The sequence below is a fragment of the Homo sapiens genome, chromosome 17 (assembly GCF_000001405.40).
Source record: "Homo sapiens chromosome 17, GRCh38.p14 Primary Assembly".
Taxonomy (NCBI): domain Eukaryota; kingdom Metazoa; phylum Chordata; class Mammalia; order Primates; family Hominidae; genus Homo; species Homo sapiens.
The window spans coordinates 73,489,835-73,508,689 of NC_000017.11; the positions used below are offsets into that span (position 1 = coordinate 73,489,835).

Below are 18,855 nucleotides of genomic sequence, written 5' to 3' on the forward strand. Positions count from 1 at the left end.
ACCTAGGTAGAGTAGCTAACTTTAATTTGGCCAACAAAAAAGTGAAACAACAAAAGCAAAAAATCTGTCATGCAGATTTCATTTTCTTTGTTAAAAAGGCCATTTTTAACATCAAAAGAGGACAAAGGGCACAGAGTTTTCTGCAAAGAGTGGATTTACCATCATGAGAACCTGCCACGTGGCCCTGGTTTTGACTAGTTCACAGCAGACTTCTTACACCACCACCCCGGGCCTTCCTCCACGACTGAGCACCAGAGCTTGAGAACTGTGTCCTTTCTCAGAGCCGCCCTGCTCTCTGGGGTTGCGTTCTGACTTTTTTGGCGGCCTGTCTTGACTTCCCTAGCAAGGCTGCAAGCTCCACCTGTTTTTGGAGTGCCCCTGGTACCTGACACTTTGTCTAACTCACAGTGGGTGATCAAGAAGCCGGGGCAGGCCCACTGCTTGCAGGGCTGGAGGGCACCCTGATAAAGCACAGCACAAAGGCGTCCCAAGTCAAACTACTCGGCTTTGCTCTGCCCAGGTAGCTCTGCTCTAAGGGATGGTAGACACAGGTGGAGAAGGAGGGTTTTTGATTGGGTATTCCACTTGCTGTGTGACCTTAGGCAAGCTGCCTAATCTCTCTGTGCCTCCATTTCCTTATCTATAAAATAGGAGTTGTAACAATACTTACTAATATGGGCCAGGCAGTGTTTTTTTTTTTTTTTTTTGAGATGGGTTTTTTTTTTTTTGGTCACCCAGGCTGGAGTGCAGTGGGGTAATCTCAGCTCACTGCAGCCTCGACCTCCTGGGTTCAAGTGATCCCCCCAAGTAGCTAGGACTACAGGCATGCACCACCACACTTGGCTAATTTTTGTATTATTATTATTATGTTTTAAGAGACAGGGTCTTGCCATGTTGTCCATGCTGGTCTCGAACCCCTGAGCTCAAGTGATCCACCACCCCTTGGCCTCCTAAAATGCTAGGATTACAGGCGTGAACCACCACACCTGGCCCCAGGCAGTGTTCTAAGCATTTCACATGTGATAATGCATTTACTCCTTATTAACCACCCTACGAGGTCAGAAATAATAATATCCAAATGTGGCAGATAAAAAAGATCAGGAAACCAAGGAACAAAGATGTTAAGGAACTTGCCCAAGTTTGCATGGCCAGTAGTTGGCAGAGCCCCAGTGGGCTTCTAGATTTTGTGCTCTTAACCACCCTACTATAGCCCCTACCTGAAGATCCAGTGTGAGGATTAAATGAGTTAATACATGTAGTGTGCTTAGGATATGGGCTGGCGTAAGGCATAGTCGGCAATCTTTAAGAGTTAGCTGTTGCCATTATTATTAATGTTATTACTACTCCTTCATCTGTCCTTGCTCTCAGCATCCTCTAACAGCACCCTGACATGGCTCAACATATCCTTATCTAGGACAAGCCCTGGCCCAGCAAAGCAGCCTGGGGAGCTTCAGTCCCAGGTGTCAGAAGCTATGACCCTGGCTGCTGGGAGCCTTACGCCCCAGAGCCAACTCCTCTCTCTGCCTTTCTGTTTTTTGGCTTTTTTTTTTTTTTTTGAGACAGGGTCTTGCTCTGTCACCCAGGCTGGAGTACAGTGGCACGATCACGGCTCACTGCAGCCTTGACCGCCTGGGCTCCAGCGATCCTCCCACCTCAACCTCTCAAGGAACTGGGACTACAGGCGTGCACCACTATGCCCAGCTAACATTTTTATTTTTAGTAGAGACGAGGTCTCGCTATGTTGCACAGGTCTCTGTGCTTGCAAGCGTGAGCCACTGTGCCTGGCCCCTCTCTCTACCTTCCTCAACGTCTGCTCAGATCACAGGCAGCAGGTCCCAGATTCAATCCCACCAGCTCTGAGCTTTCTGCTCTTTGTCCTCCGTGACTCAGTTCCAATCCTTGCCCATTCTCTCTGGGTGTTCCAAAGTCACCCTTGCGGGTGCCTTCAGAGATACCAAGTGGGAGAATTGGACCAGAACTGTGCTAAGGAAGCGCTGGGGACCCGCCTGCGAGCCGCCATCTGGAAAAGGTGGTCGGTGTGGGCTTTGGGGTAATGGCCAGATCTGAGAGGAGGCCAGGAGGGGACTGAGGAGCACAGCTCTGATATTTTACAGTGACCCCCATCAGGATGTGGAGTCCATTTCCCCACTCCCGAAATCTGGGCCAGCTTCATGCCTCGCTTTCATTGACAGAATGTGGTCCTTGTAGCTTCTACATTCACCCTCTAAGATCAGGGCCCCAACACCATGGTGGCCCACCATGCTACCAAGGAGGAGAAACCACGTGGAGAAAGAGATCCTGCACCCAGCTGTCCCCACCAAGCCCAGCCCAAGCCGACTGCCAGATGGGCACAACTTCATGGCCAGCCCAGGAGAGACCAGGGGGAATAATAATCCCGGTTGTTTAAGCCACCGAGTGCTGATTTGGTTTCCTAAGCAGCAGTAGGTAGCTGAGCAGAGTAGCTATCTGTGGCCCGGCCGGCACGCTCCTGCAGGCAGGACCTCACTGTGCACTCCCAGGCCCATGGTGTTTGAGTGCCGCGGTGGCTGGAGCCTGTGGATGTGCTGTGGGTTGGCCTCCAGGGACTGTGCCCTATCTCCCCTGGAGAGACTGTCTCTCTTAGTCACTAGTCTTCATTCTGCAGAAAGAACAGCCTCTTCCTTCTCCAGCTGTCTGTGAGCCCACCAGTGCCTGGAACCCCCTCCTATGCCTTCTGTTTATCTTGAGTTACAGAACACACCAGCATCTCTCAGCCCCCAGGGGCTGCCAGTTAGAGCCAAAACCCCTATTTTCAACCCCCTCCCAGGAGGAGTCTCTGCCATCCCAGCGGACTTGGGCGACCCTGGGAGAAGACTGGACTGGTAAGTCAGAAACCCCAGCTCCCCTGCCAAATGGCCCACTGCAGATATTCCTCTTCAGGGCGACGAAGACACAGGGGAGAGGTACCTGCACCCTCCCACACTGAGGAATCCTATGAATGGGCTGGGGGCGGGGAGGGGAGTCAGGCGCCACGGCAGCCCCCAGGAAGCAGGGGTCATTACCAACTCCCCAGGCGTCTGTCTAGACCATTTGCCTGCCTGAGCGCATAACTGAGTCAAGATCTAATTAGTTTCTGTGTCCTGGCTGAGAGCCAAGGCCGGGCGCAGGAGGACCTGGGAGGGGGTGGAAAGCGGGAGATTCTCAGGGTAAGCGGGGTCTCCAGCCCAGCTGTGTGCGGAAAAAGAATGAACTCTCATTTCCATGCACTGAACCATTCCAGATAAAAAACATATGTGCCTCCGATGGAGCCCACCCTCCCCTCCCCAAGGACTGTGGGCCACACATGGCCTGCACCCATGTCTGTGCACCCGTTAACCAGGGATTCAGGCCAAATTCAAATATGTCAATCTCAGGTGATGAATGATGAAACCCTTCCTAATTTGCATGTTAAATTTCCTTGTGGTGGAAATAAATAGCCTCAGTTCATCAGGGAAGAGCTTTCCTCGGGAGCCTTTCATTAAAGGCGGCGGCGAGTGCTTCATTTGCATGTTCTGTGCGGCACATTGGAGAGTCTGGGCGGATGTGGCCAGCGGGGCCCCAGGGCTGCCAGGATGGGCCATGGAAAATGCATCCGTTGCTGGGAAGTGGGAGGAGATGACAGGAAGAAGTGAGGGTGTGGCTGTGTGTGCGCACCTGTGCATTCCAGACTGTTCCATGCAGAGGAGCTGGTGGCAGGTCCACATCCCTAGCTCCCCGCTAATTTGCAGTGTGACCCTGGACTTGTCACTTTACCTCTCTGGGCCTCAGTTTCTGTATCTATAAAATGGGAGGCATTAAGTGTTTTGTATTAAGTAAAAGCAAAGCAATAGGTGTTTTGGATCCTCACAGCCCTCCTTGTGAGAATTAAATGCATTAACACTAATGAAGGCATGTTGTGCATGGCTGTGTGTGGGGTCATGCTCTGTGGACTATGGATGGACATCCAGAGCTGTGCATGGGCACACAGGGTGCTTTTGAGAGACAGCAGCATCGCCCTGCCTGCCCCAGCTTCAGAGAGCTCCACAGTTTCATAGAAATGTCCTCCCCGTCCCACCTACAGCTCTCTGTGGGCTGTGACGTCCTTGTGTGATCCTGCAATCAAACAAGGACACCGAGGGAACTCTGCAAACATCTCATCAGAAGAGAGAGGTGAGGACAGAACATGTGACCTGGGGATGCCGGGCCTGGCAATGTTCCCATCCCTGACCCGGCGAGTCCCTCTCCTGTTCCCAGGGGCCCAGCCTGACCAGGGAAATGACACTGAGTGAAATTGATGTTGGCACCTTTGCCTCTGATCACGCCAGGATGCTGAGGAGCTGGGGAGCCCAGTGAGATCCAAGCAGCACTGCACGGAGACTCAGGGGGCCTGGGTCTGAATTTTAATTCTGATGTGAACTCATGCCATGTCCCCCAAGGAGTCATTTCCACTCAGGGCCACCATGTCCCCCCTGTAAGACAGGGCTTGGCCTGGATGCCAGCTGAGGTGTTCTGTGGCTGCGTGACTCTCTCATAGCTCCTAGTTTCCCCTGCCTGCCCCCTGCACCGGTGTCCTCAGCCCAGGTCCAGCGAGGCCACACCCATCGTCCATCTCCAGCTTCCTCGGGAGTGGGGGACCCATTTTCTCCCCAAGCCAGGACCCGTTACGGAGAGTGTGAGCAAACAGGTTGCTATGGAAACCAAGCCAGTCACGGTTTGAGAGACTTTTGCATCTTTTTTCCGCCTTTCCCCTTACACTTTGAACTTATTAGTCTTAATTGACATAATTTTTGCGAGGTTGTCAACTCAAGGCACAAGGAGCCAGCTGTGCCTCTCGCTGCCCAGCACCAGCACTGACCCTTGGGGATGCTCCCTGCTGCCTCTCTCCCTCCCATCTGCCACCACCCTGCCTTTCCCTGCTACTGACTAGCAAATCCTGAGGCCACACTCGGTCCCCTCATGTCGGGAAGAACCTGTCCTAAAGCAGGAGGGGGCCTCCCAGGCCAGGGTGGGGGCACGGGCTGCGTGCAGGACCGCGTGCATCTGTGGGAAGCAGGTCGTAAGGAGCACCACCCCATGTCCTCTGGCACCAGTGGCCTCAACCTCTTGGCTAATGGTTTTAGCAGGACTGATCAGAGGAGGCGGGAGTGAATCATTCTCTCTGAGCCTCTGACTTCTCTGCGCAGTGGAGGTGTTGTACCTGCCCCGGGCTGAGGATCCAACAGAGCATCAAGGAAGGTGGCCTGTACAGCAGGAAGCGCCTTCTAGTTGAATTGTTATGAGAAAGGGGGCTGGAGGGACCCCCAAGAGGGAGCGAGGGGTGGCCAGCCAGCTCTTTACCCCTTCCTTCCATGCCAGGACCCTGACCCCATGTGCCAGGGCACCTATGCACAGAAGGGCAGCTCAGCTCCAGCTGGGAGAGTCCAGGGGATGCCAGCACCTCACTGTAGGTCATGGTTCTCAATGGGGGTGCTGTTGCCCCAGGACACAGGTGGCAGCATCTGGAGACATTTTTGGTTGTCACATCCAGAAGGTGTCTATTGGGATCTAGGGGTTATAGGCCAGGGCTGCCTCTTAACACCTTACATCACGCATGACAGACTCCCACCCTCCAACAAAGAACTTTCCATCCTCCAATGTCAGCAGTGCTGAGGCTGAGAAGCCCTGCTCTAGCTGTTTCTAGCTGGTGCCTTCCTCCCAGGCAGCATAAGGCTGTGGCCTGAGGATCCTCAAATAGTGATACCCCTTGCCTCGCCCTCTGCCTCGCTGTTGGATATTGGAGGCCTGCCCCGTGTGTGTGTGTGTGTGTGTGTGTGTTTGTTTGTGTATGTGTGTGTGTGCATGCGTGCTATGTAGGCAGATGGGGTCCCTTCAGCCTCCCCACCTTCCCCGATCCTCAGGAGTGGGAGGAGCTGGCCTCAGGTCGGGAGAAGGACAGCCTGCTCCTCCTCCCAGCCCACCTCTCCCATTCCTCCCTGAGGATTTCGCCATTTCCAAACTCGTTAACTTTTAATTACTACCTTCCCTCTGCCTGAGTACACTGGCTCCATGCCACGTACATCTCTATTAAAATTCAATTTATGCCCATCATAACTAATTCCTGTACTTCAGTTTTCTCACCATCAGCCTTCAATTTTCAGACAAGATGTCCAAGCTCATGGCCAAATTGGAGTAAATCTCCAAAGGGCTGGAACAGGCAGATAGGATCTAGCCTCATTGAGGAAAAGGAACCTGGACTTCCCGGGAGGGTGGGAAGGAACCGTGGCCAGGAAGAATGAGGTGGGAGGAGCCTGCCCTGCTGGGTGGGAGTCAGCGTCATGCCCTTGGTGGCTCTCAGACCATCCTTTCCATTGATGGAGCCATCTGTGACCAGACACTCTTCTGCACGCTTCATCTTGCATGACATTCCCAGCCACCCTGGGAGGTAGCTACTGGTCTTATTATTCCCATTTCCCAGACTAGGCAACCGAGGCAGGGATTAGGCAGTTTGCTCAAAGGCACACAGTGAGTCAGGGGCAGGACTGGACATCACAAGGTGGGATGCTGGGGCTGGATCTGGGAAGATAAACAACGGTTTGCCAGGTAGCAGAGGCGTGCGAGGACGGTAGAGGTGGAGGACAGAGGTGGGCATGGGCACGAGGGCATGAAAGAGCAGAGACCACGGGTGCACGATGCGTTCTGCCCATTAGCGAAGGGAGTTAGTGAGAGAGGAGGCTGGACAGATGGACAGGACCCGGTGATACAGGGTCTTGTACTCCCTCGACCAAAATCCTTTCGAGACTGTCCACTGCCTGCTGGATATATCCGAGAAGATTCTTCCTGGCGTTCCAGGTCCTACCTCTGCCATCTTGGGTCAGCCATGTCTCCCACTTCCTAGGGCAACTGGCTCAACCTGTCATGCCCCTTCCAGTCTCCAATTCTTGATTCCTACTTGCCTGTGAGGATTCCCCCTCCACTCCCTGCCCCGACTTGCTCATCCCTCTCTAACTCCTCAACTTGCCCCATCCTCCCCCTCCTGAAGGTCACCAGACTTCTATGTCCCTAAATTGAGCTGACGATTTATTTATTTGTTTTTATTTATGTTTTGAGATGGGGTCTCGCTTTGTCGCCTAGGTAGGAATGCAGTGGTGTGATCTTGGCTCACTGTAAACTCTGCCTCCCAGGTTCAAGTAATTCTCCTGCCTCAGCTTCCCAAGTAGCTGGCCTTACAGGCACGAGCCACCACACCTGGCTAACTTTTGTATTTTTAGTAGAGACGGGGGTTTCACCATATTGGCCAGGCTGGTCTCAAGCTCCTGACGTCAGGTGATCCACCCACCTTGGCCTCCCAAAGTGCTGGGATTATAGGCGTGAGCCACTGCGCCCAGCCTGAGCTCATGATTTTGGAATCCAGCAGCGGTTGACACAGTTGGTCCTTCCTAAACCAAGAACACACCCTCTTTCCTCCCAAGACACTGCAATCTCCAGGCTTCCCCTCTCCCATCCAGCCTCTAGGTTTTGTTCTGCCAGGCTGGTTTCCAACTCCCTTATATATGGCCTGGTGGGACCACAGAGCCCTTTCCTCTGATGCTATGTTCATTCTCTCATCCTGCCATGTCAACACCAGTGAGTCCTAAATTAATATCTTCAGACTTTTCTTCTAGTTGCCTGTTGGACATCCCGATCCAGCATCCAAAACTGAGTACAGTGTCTTCCCAGAAAGCTCCTTCTCCGCCTGGGATTCCTTCCTCAACCACCTCAATGCCCATCTTCCTCCCTCTCCTGCATGGCCAGCAGAGCCTCACGTCCCACCAGTTATCCCTCCTCAATGCATCTCAGACCCATCCGCTCCCACCAAGATGGCCCAGCCGCCCCTCGCAGCACAATGGACCCACACCTCCTCTCTGCTCTCTTCCACCCGCTTCTCACCCAGCTTCCTGAGCAAAGATTTGAAACATGAGCATCTGATCATGTCCATTCCCTGGGAAAAACCATTCGAGGGCTCCACATAGCTTTTGGCAGAAAATGCAAGTCCCTAAGAGAGCTAAACGCCCCTACTTGATCTCGCCCCAGTGTCCTCCTTGGCCACGTGGACCTTCTTTCAGATCCTCCAGACACAAGGTCCTTGGATGGAGCCGCAGGGACCATTCCTTTGGCATCCCCCTGCCCTGGCTACCTCCACTCATTCTCTGGGTCCCAACTTCCCCAGTGGAATCTGTTTGACCTTACTTTCCCTTGAAAGCACGCATCAAAACTGGATCCACCCACACTTGCACTATTATTTAGTTCTGCTTCTACACATGGGGGCCAGGATCTTCCTGTCTTATTTAGGACCATATCACCAGCAGCCGGTATCTGGTCACAACCGGCACCCATTGTAGTAACCCAGGGATGCTGGCGTCTCCTGACACGAGCACCTCCTTCTCTCACGGTTTGTCCACACTACTCAAGTTCTGTGTCTCCCAGGTGCTGCTCCAAACTCCTCCAGCTCCTGTTCGCCTCTTTCTGCCTCTTCCTGAAACTCCCACGCTCACTTGGCCTCAGTCCCCTGCTGTTGCTCCTCAGCCATGGTACTTAGAGTCCTGTGAGCACCTCTAGCTCCAGTGAGAACAAACATTTCCAAAGGTGGCAGGGCAGGCGGGGCTGGCACTGCCTTTCCGATTGTCCTCCTTGCCTAGCTCTGTGCCGGGCAGGCAGAAGGCCCCCAGTCCTTGCCTGATGAATGAACAAATGCTGGCATCTCCTGCTGTTCCTTCACCAGGCTTGGAAGCAGAAGGCCTGGCACTTGTCTTAACTTTATGATTTCAGATCTTGGACAAGAAATGAAACCTGAGCCTTTGTGTTCCTCATGTATCAAGACGCCTCTCCTTATAGGAGTTGCTGATGTTAAGGGATTCAGAAGAACCGAAGTAAAAGTCGCAGTGTGGGGCCTGGCATGAGGTAGGTGATCGTTTGGAGTGTTTGTTAATAAGAGTTAAGGTACTATTTCTCCTTCTGCAGTGGCTTAGAAAGTGCCACTGCCCGGGGGAAGGACAAGCTCAGCCAGGCAGCACAGAGCAGGGGAGGGACGCAGGCTTGGGGTCCTGAAGATCCTGGGTGAAACCTGACTCCGTGTACTGGCTGTGTGACCTTGGGTAGGTTGCCGAACCTCTCTGAGCTGTGAATTCTAGTTAGGAAGCAGAGATAATAATTGCACTAGTCTTCCAGAACTGCTGCCCGTAAGAGCTTGGCTCGGTTCCTGGCACTTACCCTGTGCCATGCCTGTGCTCCCGTGCCCTCTGGGAAGGCCCACTGGCCTCTGCCTCCCCATCTCTGCTGCCTGCTCTCTCTTCTAAGGGGAGGCCAGAAAGAGGGCCAGAGAAGCCAGAGATAAAGCCGCTGGCCTGGGGAATTTCTCTTCATCTTCTTATCTGAGGAGTTTCAAAGGCTGCCAGTGGCTCCGCGTGCGTCCCCTGCTTTTGTGTCCCTTGCTGGGGCCGTCACATGTGCAGGGCTTCTCTGCCTCAGATATACTTTCTTCTCCCAGCTGCCAAGCCCATGCAGTTCACAGACACCACAGCTCTGCCACAAGGACCTCAGCATGGCATGGGGGCTGGGGACCCAGCCTGGGGCCGGCCAGATGCCCACCTGGCTCTCCTGGGCCTCCCCTGCACACATCTGCTCTTCTCCACATGGGCCAGGGGTGGGACTCGGCCTCAGCTGGTCTCACACCCTCACGCTTGCCTCTCGGAAGGGGGTCCTGCCTTCATGGCCCCCGGGGCAGAAGAATGACACACAGTGATGTGGGGCAGGGACAGAAGGAGCCCAATGGGAAACCATGTGTGCCTTTGCAGAGAGGGCAGCACACTCAGGTCCAACAGTGCTCCCAGATCTGCCGCTCACTCTCTGGATAATCCCAGGCAAGTTTCTGACCCTCTCTGAACTTCAGGTTCTTCATTTGCAGAATGAAGGTAATGAGATTCACCTGTTGTGAGATGACGGCAGTAAAGGACTTGGCACCCATGAGCCTCCATAAACATTAATCCGTGCATGCCCAATTATGCATGGGAATCTGTGTGTGTGTGTGTGTGTGTGTGTGTGTGTGTGTGTGTGTGTGTGTGTGTTTGAGTGATCGCCTTGCTCATCTTTTCTTTTTTCTTCTATTCGATTTTAAGTGTGAGAATAATTATGCCAGAAGGTGTTACCAAGGTGGGACAAAATCATCTGGTTGATGACGTTGCCAGGGCACAGACCCAAGGATGAGTGGCAGGGTCCATCCTTCATCCATCCTCCCTCCATTCTCCTCCATCCTCCGTCCATCCTCCCTCCATTCTCCTCCATCCTCCATCCATCCTCCCTCCACTCTCCTCCATTCTCTGTCCATCCTCCCTCCATTCTCCTCCATCCTCCATCCATCCTCCCTCCATCTCCTCCATCCTCCCTCCCTTCTCCACCATCCTCCGTCCATCCTCCTTCCATCTCCTCCATCCTTCTCCATCCTCCTTCCATCTCCTCCATCCTTCTCCATCCTCCTCCATCCTCCCTCCATCTCCTCCATCCTCCCTCCATTCTCCTCCATCCTTCTCCATCCTCCCTCCATTCTCCTCCATCCTTTGTCCATCCTCCTTCCATTATCCATCATCCTCCATCCATCCTCCCTCCATCTCCTCCATCCTCCATCCATCCTCCCTCCATTATCCTCCATCCTTTGTCCATCTTCCTTCTGTTCTCCTTCATCCTCCATCCATCCCCCCTCAGTTCTCCTTCATCCTTCTCCATCCTCCCTCTGTTCTCCTCCATCCTCTGTCCATCCTCCTTCTATCTCCTCCATCCTCTCTCCATCTTCCCTCTATTCTCCTCCATCCCTCCTCACTCCATCTCCTCCATCCATCCTCCCTCCATTCTCCTCCATCCTCCTTCCGTCTCCTCCATCCTCTGTCCATCCTCCCTCCATTCTCCTCCATCCTCCATCCATCCTTCCTCTAGCCTCTGTCCATCCTCCCTCCGTTCTCCTCCATCCTCTTTCCATCCTCCCTCAGTTCTCCATCCTCTGTCTATCCTCCCTCCATTCTCCTCCATCCTCCATCCATCCTCCCTCCATCTCCTCCATCCTCCATCCATCCTCCCTCTGTCCTCCTCCATCTCCATCCCCTGTCCTGTCATTTCTCCAGCCAGGGGGGTTGTCTCCAGCCATGCTGCCCTTGCTGATGAAGTGGATGTAAACTTAAGCTGAAAGGATTCAACCTGGGAGATGGCTCCTGGAGAAGAGGGAGCTGAGAGCGGTCAGATGAGAGAGGCTCCAGCACTAACACTAGAGGGCCTGACCTCTAGGGCTTTTATGTGAGTTGCACACACACCTTCCTGCTGTACTCAGACAGGCTCGTGACTAACTGTTAACCTGCACACAAGGCTGTGTGGGAATCATACACACACAAACACATACATGCATGTGCATGCACACACACACACACACATATTTTAGCAGACACATTAGACTCCATACATTAGACTCTGTATATCCAAATAAGTTTTGTGTTCTTCCTCCCCCCCACCACCTGTCCCCAGCACATGCCCCAGGAATCACTCTGGGAAGCTGCGTGCCTGTTCCAGGGGAGAGGCAGGCCGTGGGGCCAGTGTCCACACCTTGAGGAGGGTCTCCCATGCAGTATCCTCCTGCTCACATGAGAGAAAGGATCTCATTTCTTTAAAGTCAGATTTTGCTTTGTTTCCTTGCTGTGCTCCCAGCTCTTAGAGCCACCTCATTTCTCAAACTGGGAATTCAAGGCTGGTTTCGAAATGGATAATGATTTGTCACCAACAAAGGGTTCTCACAGCTCTTGCCTAAGAGGAGTTCTGCACAGGTGTACAGAGCCCCAGGTGGCCACTCAGAGGAGACAAGCTACCTACACACGTGATTTTCTAGGGGGTTTGTTATCAGATCTGTTCCAGGATCTTGTCGAGACAGACACCTTGAATAATCCTAACAGGTACCATTCATGTCACATCTTTTGCACCAGGGTGGGCTTGACCTGTAGAATCCCAGGTATTCCTTACAATAATTCTCTGATGCAGGCATTACTGCGCCTGATTCCAAGAAGTGAAAACAAATTCAGGGTGGCTAACCACTTCTGCCTAAGGTGACAGAGCTAGCAGGGACAGGGTCATATTCATGCAGGCCTGACTTCAACGTCTATGCTCTTTTCACTCTGACCCCAATGATGGATGTGGACCCACATATTTATGCCACAATCACACATACTCAGAAGGGTGCACAGGCTTGCCTTTGTGTAGTGCACATACACACACACACACACACACACACACACACACACACCAGACCCATTTGGCTACAGAACCCAAGAATAAAGACTTTCAGAGACTGGACATGAATATAAACTTTCCTCCCTTTGGAAACATAAATTTATGGCAGCACTTCTAATCTTATTTTCTCTCAACTTGCTGAGTAAATTTAGCCATTTTCCTGCCTGAAAATTGGATATTATCATCTTACTCAGAGCCTGGGGTTTGTAAAAGACAGGGAAGTCCTCAGTATCCAGCAGTGGTTGGAGAGCCGTGGGCTATGAAGCTGGACAGTCTCCTATGGAATGCACTTTTCAGTATGCATTTATTTAAAAGGTGAACCTGGAACATTTTTTGAGCCCAAAACAAGGAAATGTTCAGAATCTAATGGGGATATATTCAAAGGACCCATGCTCCAGCTTGAAGGAGCTCCACTGGCCAAATTTAGGTTAAGATGAGTATGGAAATGAACAATGTCATGCGTGGATTAAAGCACATTGAATAAAAACCATAATGCATGAGTTTATACTGATGCTAAATTACTTTAAAGGGGGTCAGAAAGGAAAGCTGTTTACAAAAGAATGCCACCTAAGTAAAAGGAATACAAGAAAATCTCCTTATCCCAACCACCATAGTAATAACTGATTCGGGTAAGACTCTTCAATGGATACTAAACCACTGGGTGGGAGAGTCGTGGGAAGGAGATTATTCACATAGTCCCAAGTTATCCCTCTATAGTCCACTCATCAATAACGAAGGGAAGAAGATACTTCAACCTTTTGACAATGGAGAAATCTGGTGGATATCACCTTGACCAGTTCATCAAACCTAACATCACCAATAACGGGGCAAATTGTCATCAGGCACCTTCCAGTGTGAAGCATCAAAGACACATACCTACAAATATGCTTCCCAAAAGGCTTAACATGAGTTTAATCATGAGGATATAACTGGACAAACCCACATTGAGGGAAATTCTGCAAAGCCGGCTGGACTCTCAGAAGTGCCAAAGCCATGAAAGGTAGGAAAGAAACAATAAGGAATAGTTCTAGATTTAAGGTGTATCAAGACTCATGGCAATTAAAGGTCACACGTGATCCCCGATTAGGTCCGGCGTTGAAGAAGAACAACAACCATGGCCATGAAGGACACTGGGATAAAGGTACGTCCATCCGAACAAATGGAGAAACTTGAATATAGGCTGCTTTTTAGATTGCAGTATTGTATCATTGTTAAATTTCCCAACTGTGAAAATTGTGTCGTGCATGGTTCTGCGGGTAAATGCCTTGCTCTTAGGAAATATTATTTATGAATGAAGTGACATGATGTCTACAGCAAATCCTTGAATAGTTCAGCAGAAAACGTGCATGTTTATACGTGTGTAGGGAGACAGTAAGAGAGCACAAATGAGCAAAATGTTAGCAATTGTGATGGTACATGTATGCAGGTGTTTACAGTACTAACGATTTTACTAAGATTTGAAAAAAATCAAAATTAAAAGAGAGAAGAAAGAAGCACCTGCTATGAGCCAGGGACACAGGTGGCTTCCATCTAACCACCACTCTTTTCCCTTCTTATGTTAACAACTTTCACCCTTCTTCCCTACCACGTGGCTGTAGTGTGAGGGCTGCCAATCCTGATGTCTCAAGCCCTGGAGTAGGCACATGATGCAGGCCTGGCCAATCAGGGTGCTCCATGCTGTTGCCCACCACGACTGGTCAGGGATGGTCTGAGCTGGGCCAATCAGAATCCTTCCCTGGGACTTTCTAAGTGAAACTTCCAGAAAAGTTCTTTCTACTCAGAAATCAGGCAGCTATAGCTTGTGAGCCCTGAACTTCTCAGTGTCACTCATGACTCATGAAGTATGAACCCAGAGGTGGGCACAGCTGAGCGACTTGGAGGAAAGAGGGCCTGGCAATATCAAGCTCTTGGTCTAAGTCCTGAGGTTCCAGGAACTGCCAAGGTTCTGGAAGCTCTGACTTCGGTTCTGTGGTGCACTTGTGGTCTCCTCTGTAAATAATGAGAAGGCAAAAAAGGTGTCAGGGGATATGTAAGGCCATACTTTCTGGACAGTCACAAAGGACAGAGGAGATGGAGCAGTGCGTGCGTGTGTGTGTGTGTGTGTGTGTGAGAGAGAGAGAGAGAGAGAAAGTGTGTGTGTGTGTGTGTGTGTGTGTGTGAAAGAGAGAGAGAGAGAGAGGGAAAGAAAGAGAGAGGGAAAGAGAGAGAGAGAGAGAAATTAAGAATACATGCATTATTGGCTAGGCGCGGTGGCTCACGCCTGTAATTCCAGCACTTTGGGAGGCTGAGATGGGCAGATCACGAGGTCAGCAGATCGAGACCATCCTGGCTAACACGGTGAAACCCCGTTTCTACTAAAAAAAAAATACGAAAAATTAGCTGGGCATGGTGTCGGGCGCCTGTAGTCCCAGCTACTTGGGAGGCTGAGGCAGGAGAATGGCGTGAACCGGGGAGGCAGAGCTTGCTGTGAGCCGAGATTGTGCCACTGCACTCCAGCCTGGGGGACAGAGCAAGACTCTGTCTCAAAAAAAAAAAAAAAAAAAAAAAAGAATACATGCATTATCAGGAAAGGTTTTCTAAAAGAGAAGGAATTTGAGCTGGGCCCTGCAGGAGAAAAAAAAGTTTTCAAAAGGGGAAATATTCCCGTGGAGGGGATAGGACAGTTTGGACAAAGTCCGAGAAGAGGGAATTTGCAGGGAACTGTCCTGAGACCCTTGATGGTCTAGCGGGGGTGGCAGGAGGTGAGACTATGCCAGCAGGAGCAGATCAGGAAGAGTTCTAAGGCCCTTCTAAGGAGTGCAGACCTTGCCTCAGGGGCACAGCAAGTTTTTAATTGAAGGAAAATCCTGATTGGACCTGCATTCAGGCACACCGTTGCCCCCAGGCCACCAGATCCAACACTCTTAGGGGCGAGGAGGTAAAGGAATGAGTTTCCCAAGTGCGCGCTCATCTATTTCCCTTGAATAACTTCCACCCAACATAGCTATAAAATGGAGTATCTGCATTCTCCCGATTGCTTTGTTTTCTAGAATTTGCAGAGCAGTTAGCCGAAAGATTGCTTAGGATACACATTAAGGAAGCAATTGCAGCAATCCTTCTTCAATGAGAGGCAGTGTGGTGGATGGTAACAAATTCCCACTCTGCTGTCAGACAACTTATTTTTGAAGCCCAACTCAACCATCTGACTTTAGGTGATGTCTTTAACTTCTCTGAGCTTCAGTGTGTTTATCTGTAAAATGGGGGGAAATAACTGAAACTACTCATAGGATTGTGGGCAGGATTAAATGAGATAATCGCAGAGGGACATCACAATGTCTGCCATATAAGAAATTCTTTTTCATTGTCTATGATTGCTATCATCATTGTTATTGTCATCATCATCATCATCATCCTCAATAGCTGGACCTCATCATCGTCAATAGCTGGACCTCATCATCGTCAATAGCTGGACCTCATCATCATCATCATCAATAGCTGGACCTCATCATCGTCAATAGCTGGACCTCATCATCATCAATAGCTGGACCTCATCATCATCATCATCAATAGCTGGACCTCATCATCGTCAATAGCTGGACCTCATCATCATCATCATCAATAGCTGGACCTCATCATCGTCAATAGCTGGACCTCATCAGCATCAATAGCTGGACCTCATCATCGTCAATAGCTGGACCTCATCATCATCAATAGCTGGACCTCATCATCATCATCATCACCACCAATAGCTGGACCCTGTCCACTCCCTGAATGCCTGCAGGGACAAGGGCTGACTGTTTTCAAAGGCAGGCCATTCCACATGGTCCTTCCACTGAGCTGGAACCTGCTTCTGTGTACCACCCGCCCTTGCATCCTAGCAGTGCCAGGGCCCCAGAAGAGCAGCTCTGAACCAGATAAGGAACCAACTCTCCTCCTCCCCTCCTCCTGGATCCTGCCTCCGGCTCCCAGCCGGAAGAAGTCAGGGGCAGGCTAGGCCCGGCACTACTTGCACGTGTGGTATGCCATCCCATGCTCTTGGTCACCCACTTGAGCGTGTCCAAAGTCTAAGATGATGCAGGGGCCCTTCACAGAGACGGTCACAACTTCCTGGGTGTGCCAGGTGGTGGCCAGGAGAGGCTCTGGCCCCCAACTGAAAACCACAGAAGGGGCTGCTCAGGGAGAGCTTTCTGATCTCCTTGTGGGCTTCCTGGAGAACCGGAGGCCCAGAGTGGCCAGCCCTGCAGGACCTCTTGCTTGCTCATCCAGCTCTCCCCTCTGCAGGAGGGGAGGGGGTGCCCTGTCCTGGGCTTTCTTTTGCCAATGTGGCCACACTACACCAGCCCATGCAGTCCAGGGTTAAGGCAGAAAGACTGGGGTGGGGAGTCACTCCAAACTCTGGCCTCCGCACTCCCTAAAGGAAAGGCTGGTTCTCCAGAAGGACAGATCAAGCAATGATACCCCCTCCTCTTATTTGCATACCTGTCCCTGGCAGCAGATTTGTGTCAACATCCCCAGGGCAAGACAATCTTGTTTCCCCAACAAAACCGATTATGCACATCAGGCCCTGGGATTAATCACCAGCCACAGGGTTGGAGCCAATAAAACAGGCGGAGGTGGGAGGATAAGAGCAGAAAGGAGGGAGTGCCTGCCCCAGTCTGTGGCTGCGAGGAAAGGCTGGAGGCCAGGGTGGCCTGGGTGAGGGGCTGCTTCCCTGCTGGCAGCAGATCCACCCTTGCTGAGACCCTATTCTCTTTCCCTGCTCTTCCTTCTCCCCACCTGGCAATGTCCCGGCAGGGAAAGGCCAGTCAGGCCCAAGAGCTCCATGGCACGGGCACAGATAGGAAGTGAAGATAAGCTCAAGAGGCCCTGAGAGGGCCATCTCTGTGTCCCACCTGAATTTCCCATAGATAGAAGATGTCCCCTCCTTCACTGATCCCAGGTTGCTGCAGAGCCCACCCCTCCATTGGACCCAGGCCCCACAACAAGAGTCCCCTGGAGATGGCAGTGTTCGAGAGAGTGAGCAGGGGGCCACAGTCACAGCCACAGCCACAGCTGCTGTTAGTGAGTCCCTGTGCCCAACACCACCTCTGCTCCTATGCACTGTGGTACAGACCATCCTGTCCAGGCAGCGCTGGCCCCTGGTCCACAACCCAGCCATCCTCTGCAGGGATCAGTAGGGTGGAGCCATCTCACCTTGGGGCAGGGCTGCCTTTGCCACTCACTTCCAGAACTCCAGGCTCTAGGAGCCCTGAGCCCCACACTGTCACACAAACCCCCTCCTCACCATGCCCTCTTCAAAGCAGGGCAGTGGTCCTGGCAGCCAGGAGGAAGGGCGGGGAGGGGCAGTTTACCTGTATTCCAGGGAGAACTTGGTCAGCTCCCTGTTGTTGTGGAGCCACTTGAACTCCAGTGGCCAGCTGCCCTCGGCCATGCATGTAAGCACCAGGCGGTTTCCTTCCAAGTGCACCTGTGTCCGCACAGGCTCTGTCTTGAAATACGGGGACACATCATCTGCAGAAACAGGGAGACAAAGCCACCAGTGATCACTTGCTCACCTATGTGACCTGGTGCGTTTAGTATCCTAAGGCCCTTAGGCAGATGGAGCAGGTGCAGCCAGGTAATTTGCCCAAGGTCCCGTGGCTGGGAGGGACTTGAACCTGGGTCAGTCTGACTCCAAGGCTTGGTCTTCAGCGGGAGTCACCGACATCTGCCAACCAGAGCCCTGCCTCCTTCCTCCCCAGACCACGCTGGGCTATTGCCCTGCTGCCAGCCCACACTCCAGCATCTTCTGTCACTTCCCTCTCAGCATACACATCCACTCCATCCACTCTGCTCATGGGTTCCCCCTCCAGGGCAGGAGGCAAGAGGGGCACTTTCTGTGGCCCAGCCAAAGGGAATATCAATGTCACAAGGAGAATAGGGAGGCAGATTGACAACTGTAGGGGGTAAAGGGTCTCCTGAGTCCTGCTCCCCAAGGCTGGGGGAAGCCCTCAAAGTGTCAATCACAGAGTCCATCCAGCAGGGCCCCATGGCCACCAGCTGCCTGTTTCTTCCATCCTGGGTCCTGGAGCCAGCCTGCCTCTACCTCCCCGTTCACTCTAGGCTGGCCGCCTGGTTGCCCAGATGATGGGTGAAGAGCAGAACAGCTGCTTCCCCCTCTCTGCAGTCACCCTTATCCTCTGAGCTGACTCAGCCTCGCAGACCTCCCTGCCCCGCCACGGTTCTCTCGACAGAGACCGTGAATTTCGCCCCAGACTTCACAAGACTGCTCAGCTGGCTGATCTGGATGGAAATGGGGCCTCTGCCCTTCTGGCCAGTGTGGGAGAGGGTGGACATGAGTGTACACAAGGGAACTGATGGAACAATGGGAGAGACGGAGGGAAGGGGAGGGGCTCTAATCCGTCAAGGAGATACCTGCCTTTTTGTGGATAGGGTGGGGCCGGGCGGCAGGAGCCAGCATCTGGTAACAATATCCACAAAGATGACAGCACCTGCTCTGTTCCGGGCTGTTCTAGGGGCTCTACCATATGCTCGTCTAATCTTCACAGCAACCTCATGACTAGACAGGATTACAATCTACATTTTGGAGAGGGGACACCAAGG

The 18,855-nt window shown here is 52.1% G+C and overlaps 1 protein-coding gene across 5 annotated transcripts in view, besides 4 other annotated features; it reads right to left on the reverse strand.

The window, feature by feature from the left end:
* SDK2 (sidekick cell adhesion molecule 2) overlaps positions 1-18,855 on the reverse strand; it is a 310,062-nt gene that overhangs the window by 155,451 nt on the left and 135,756 nt on the right. For all 5 annotated transcript variants that reach the window (XM_047436313.1, XM_011524914.3, XM_011524915.3 and 2 more), the window contains exon 2: positions 17,604-17,763. In XM_047436313.1, coding sequence (XP_047292269.1) covers positions 17,604-17,763 — 160 coding nt within the window. The remainder of the gene's footprint in view (positions 1-17,603; positions 17,764-18,855) is intronic.
* Positions 1,527-2,385: an enhancer, noted in NCBI's record as "H3K27ac-H3K4me1 hESC enhancer chr17:71487500-71488358 (GRCh37/hg19 assembly coordinates)". NCBI's record gives its function as "activates a minimal SCP1, AML or CMV promoter by ChIP-STARR-seq in naive H9 embryonic stem cells {active_cell/tissue: H9 hESC(naive)}" and the evidence as "EXISTENCE:reporter gene assay evidence [ECO:0000049][PMID:30033119]".
* Positions 2,386-3,244: an enhancer, noted in NCBI's record as "H3K27ac-H3K4me1 hESC enhancer chr17:71488359-71489217 (GRCh37/hg19 assembly coordinates)". NCBI's record gives its function as "activates a minimal SCP1, AML or CMV promoter by ChIP-STARR-seq in naive H9 embryonic stem cells {active_cell/tissue: H9 hESC(naive)}" and the evidence as "EXISTENCE:reporter gene assay evidence [ECO:0000049][PMID:30033119]".
* Positions 15,897-16,834: an enhancer, noted in NCBI's record as "H3K4me1 hESC enhancer chr17:71501870-71502807 (GRCh37/hg19 assembly coordinates)". NCBI's record gives its function as "activates a minimal SCP1, AML or CMV promoter by ChIP-STARR-seq in naive and primed H9 embryonic stem cells {active_cell/tissue: H9 hESC(naive and primed)}" and the evidence as "EXISTENCE:reporter gene assay evidence [ECO:0000049][PMID:30033119]".
* Positions 17,772-18,709: an enhancer, noted in NCBI's record as "H3K4me1 hESC enhancer chr17:71503745-71504682 (GRCh37/hg19 assembly coordinates)". NCBI's record gives its function as "activates a minimal SCP1, AML or CMV promoter by ChIP-STARR-seq in primed H9 embryonic stem cells {active_cell/tissue: H9 hESC(primed)}" and the evidence as "EXISTENCE:reporter gene assay evidence [ECO:0000049][PMID:30033119]".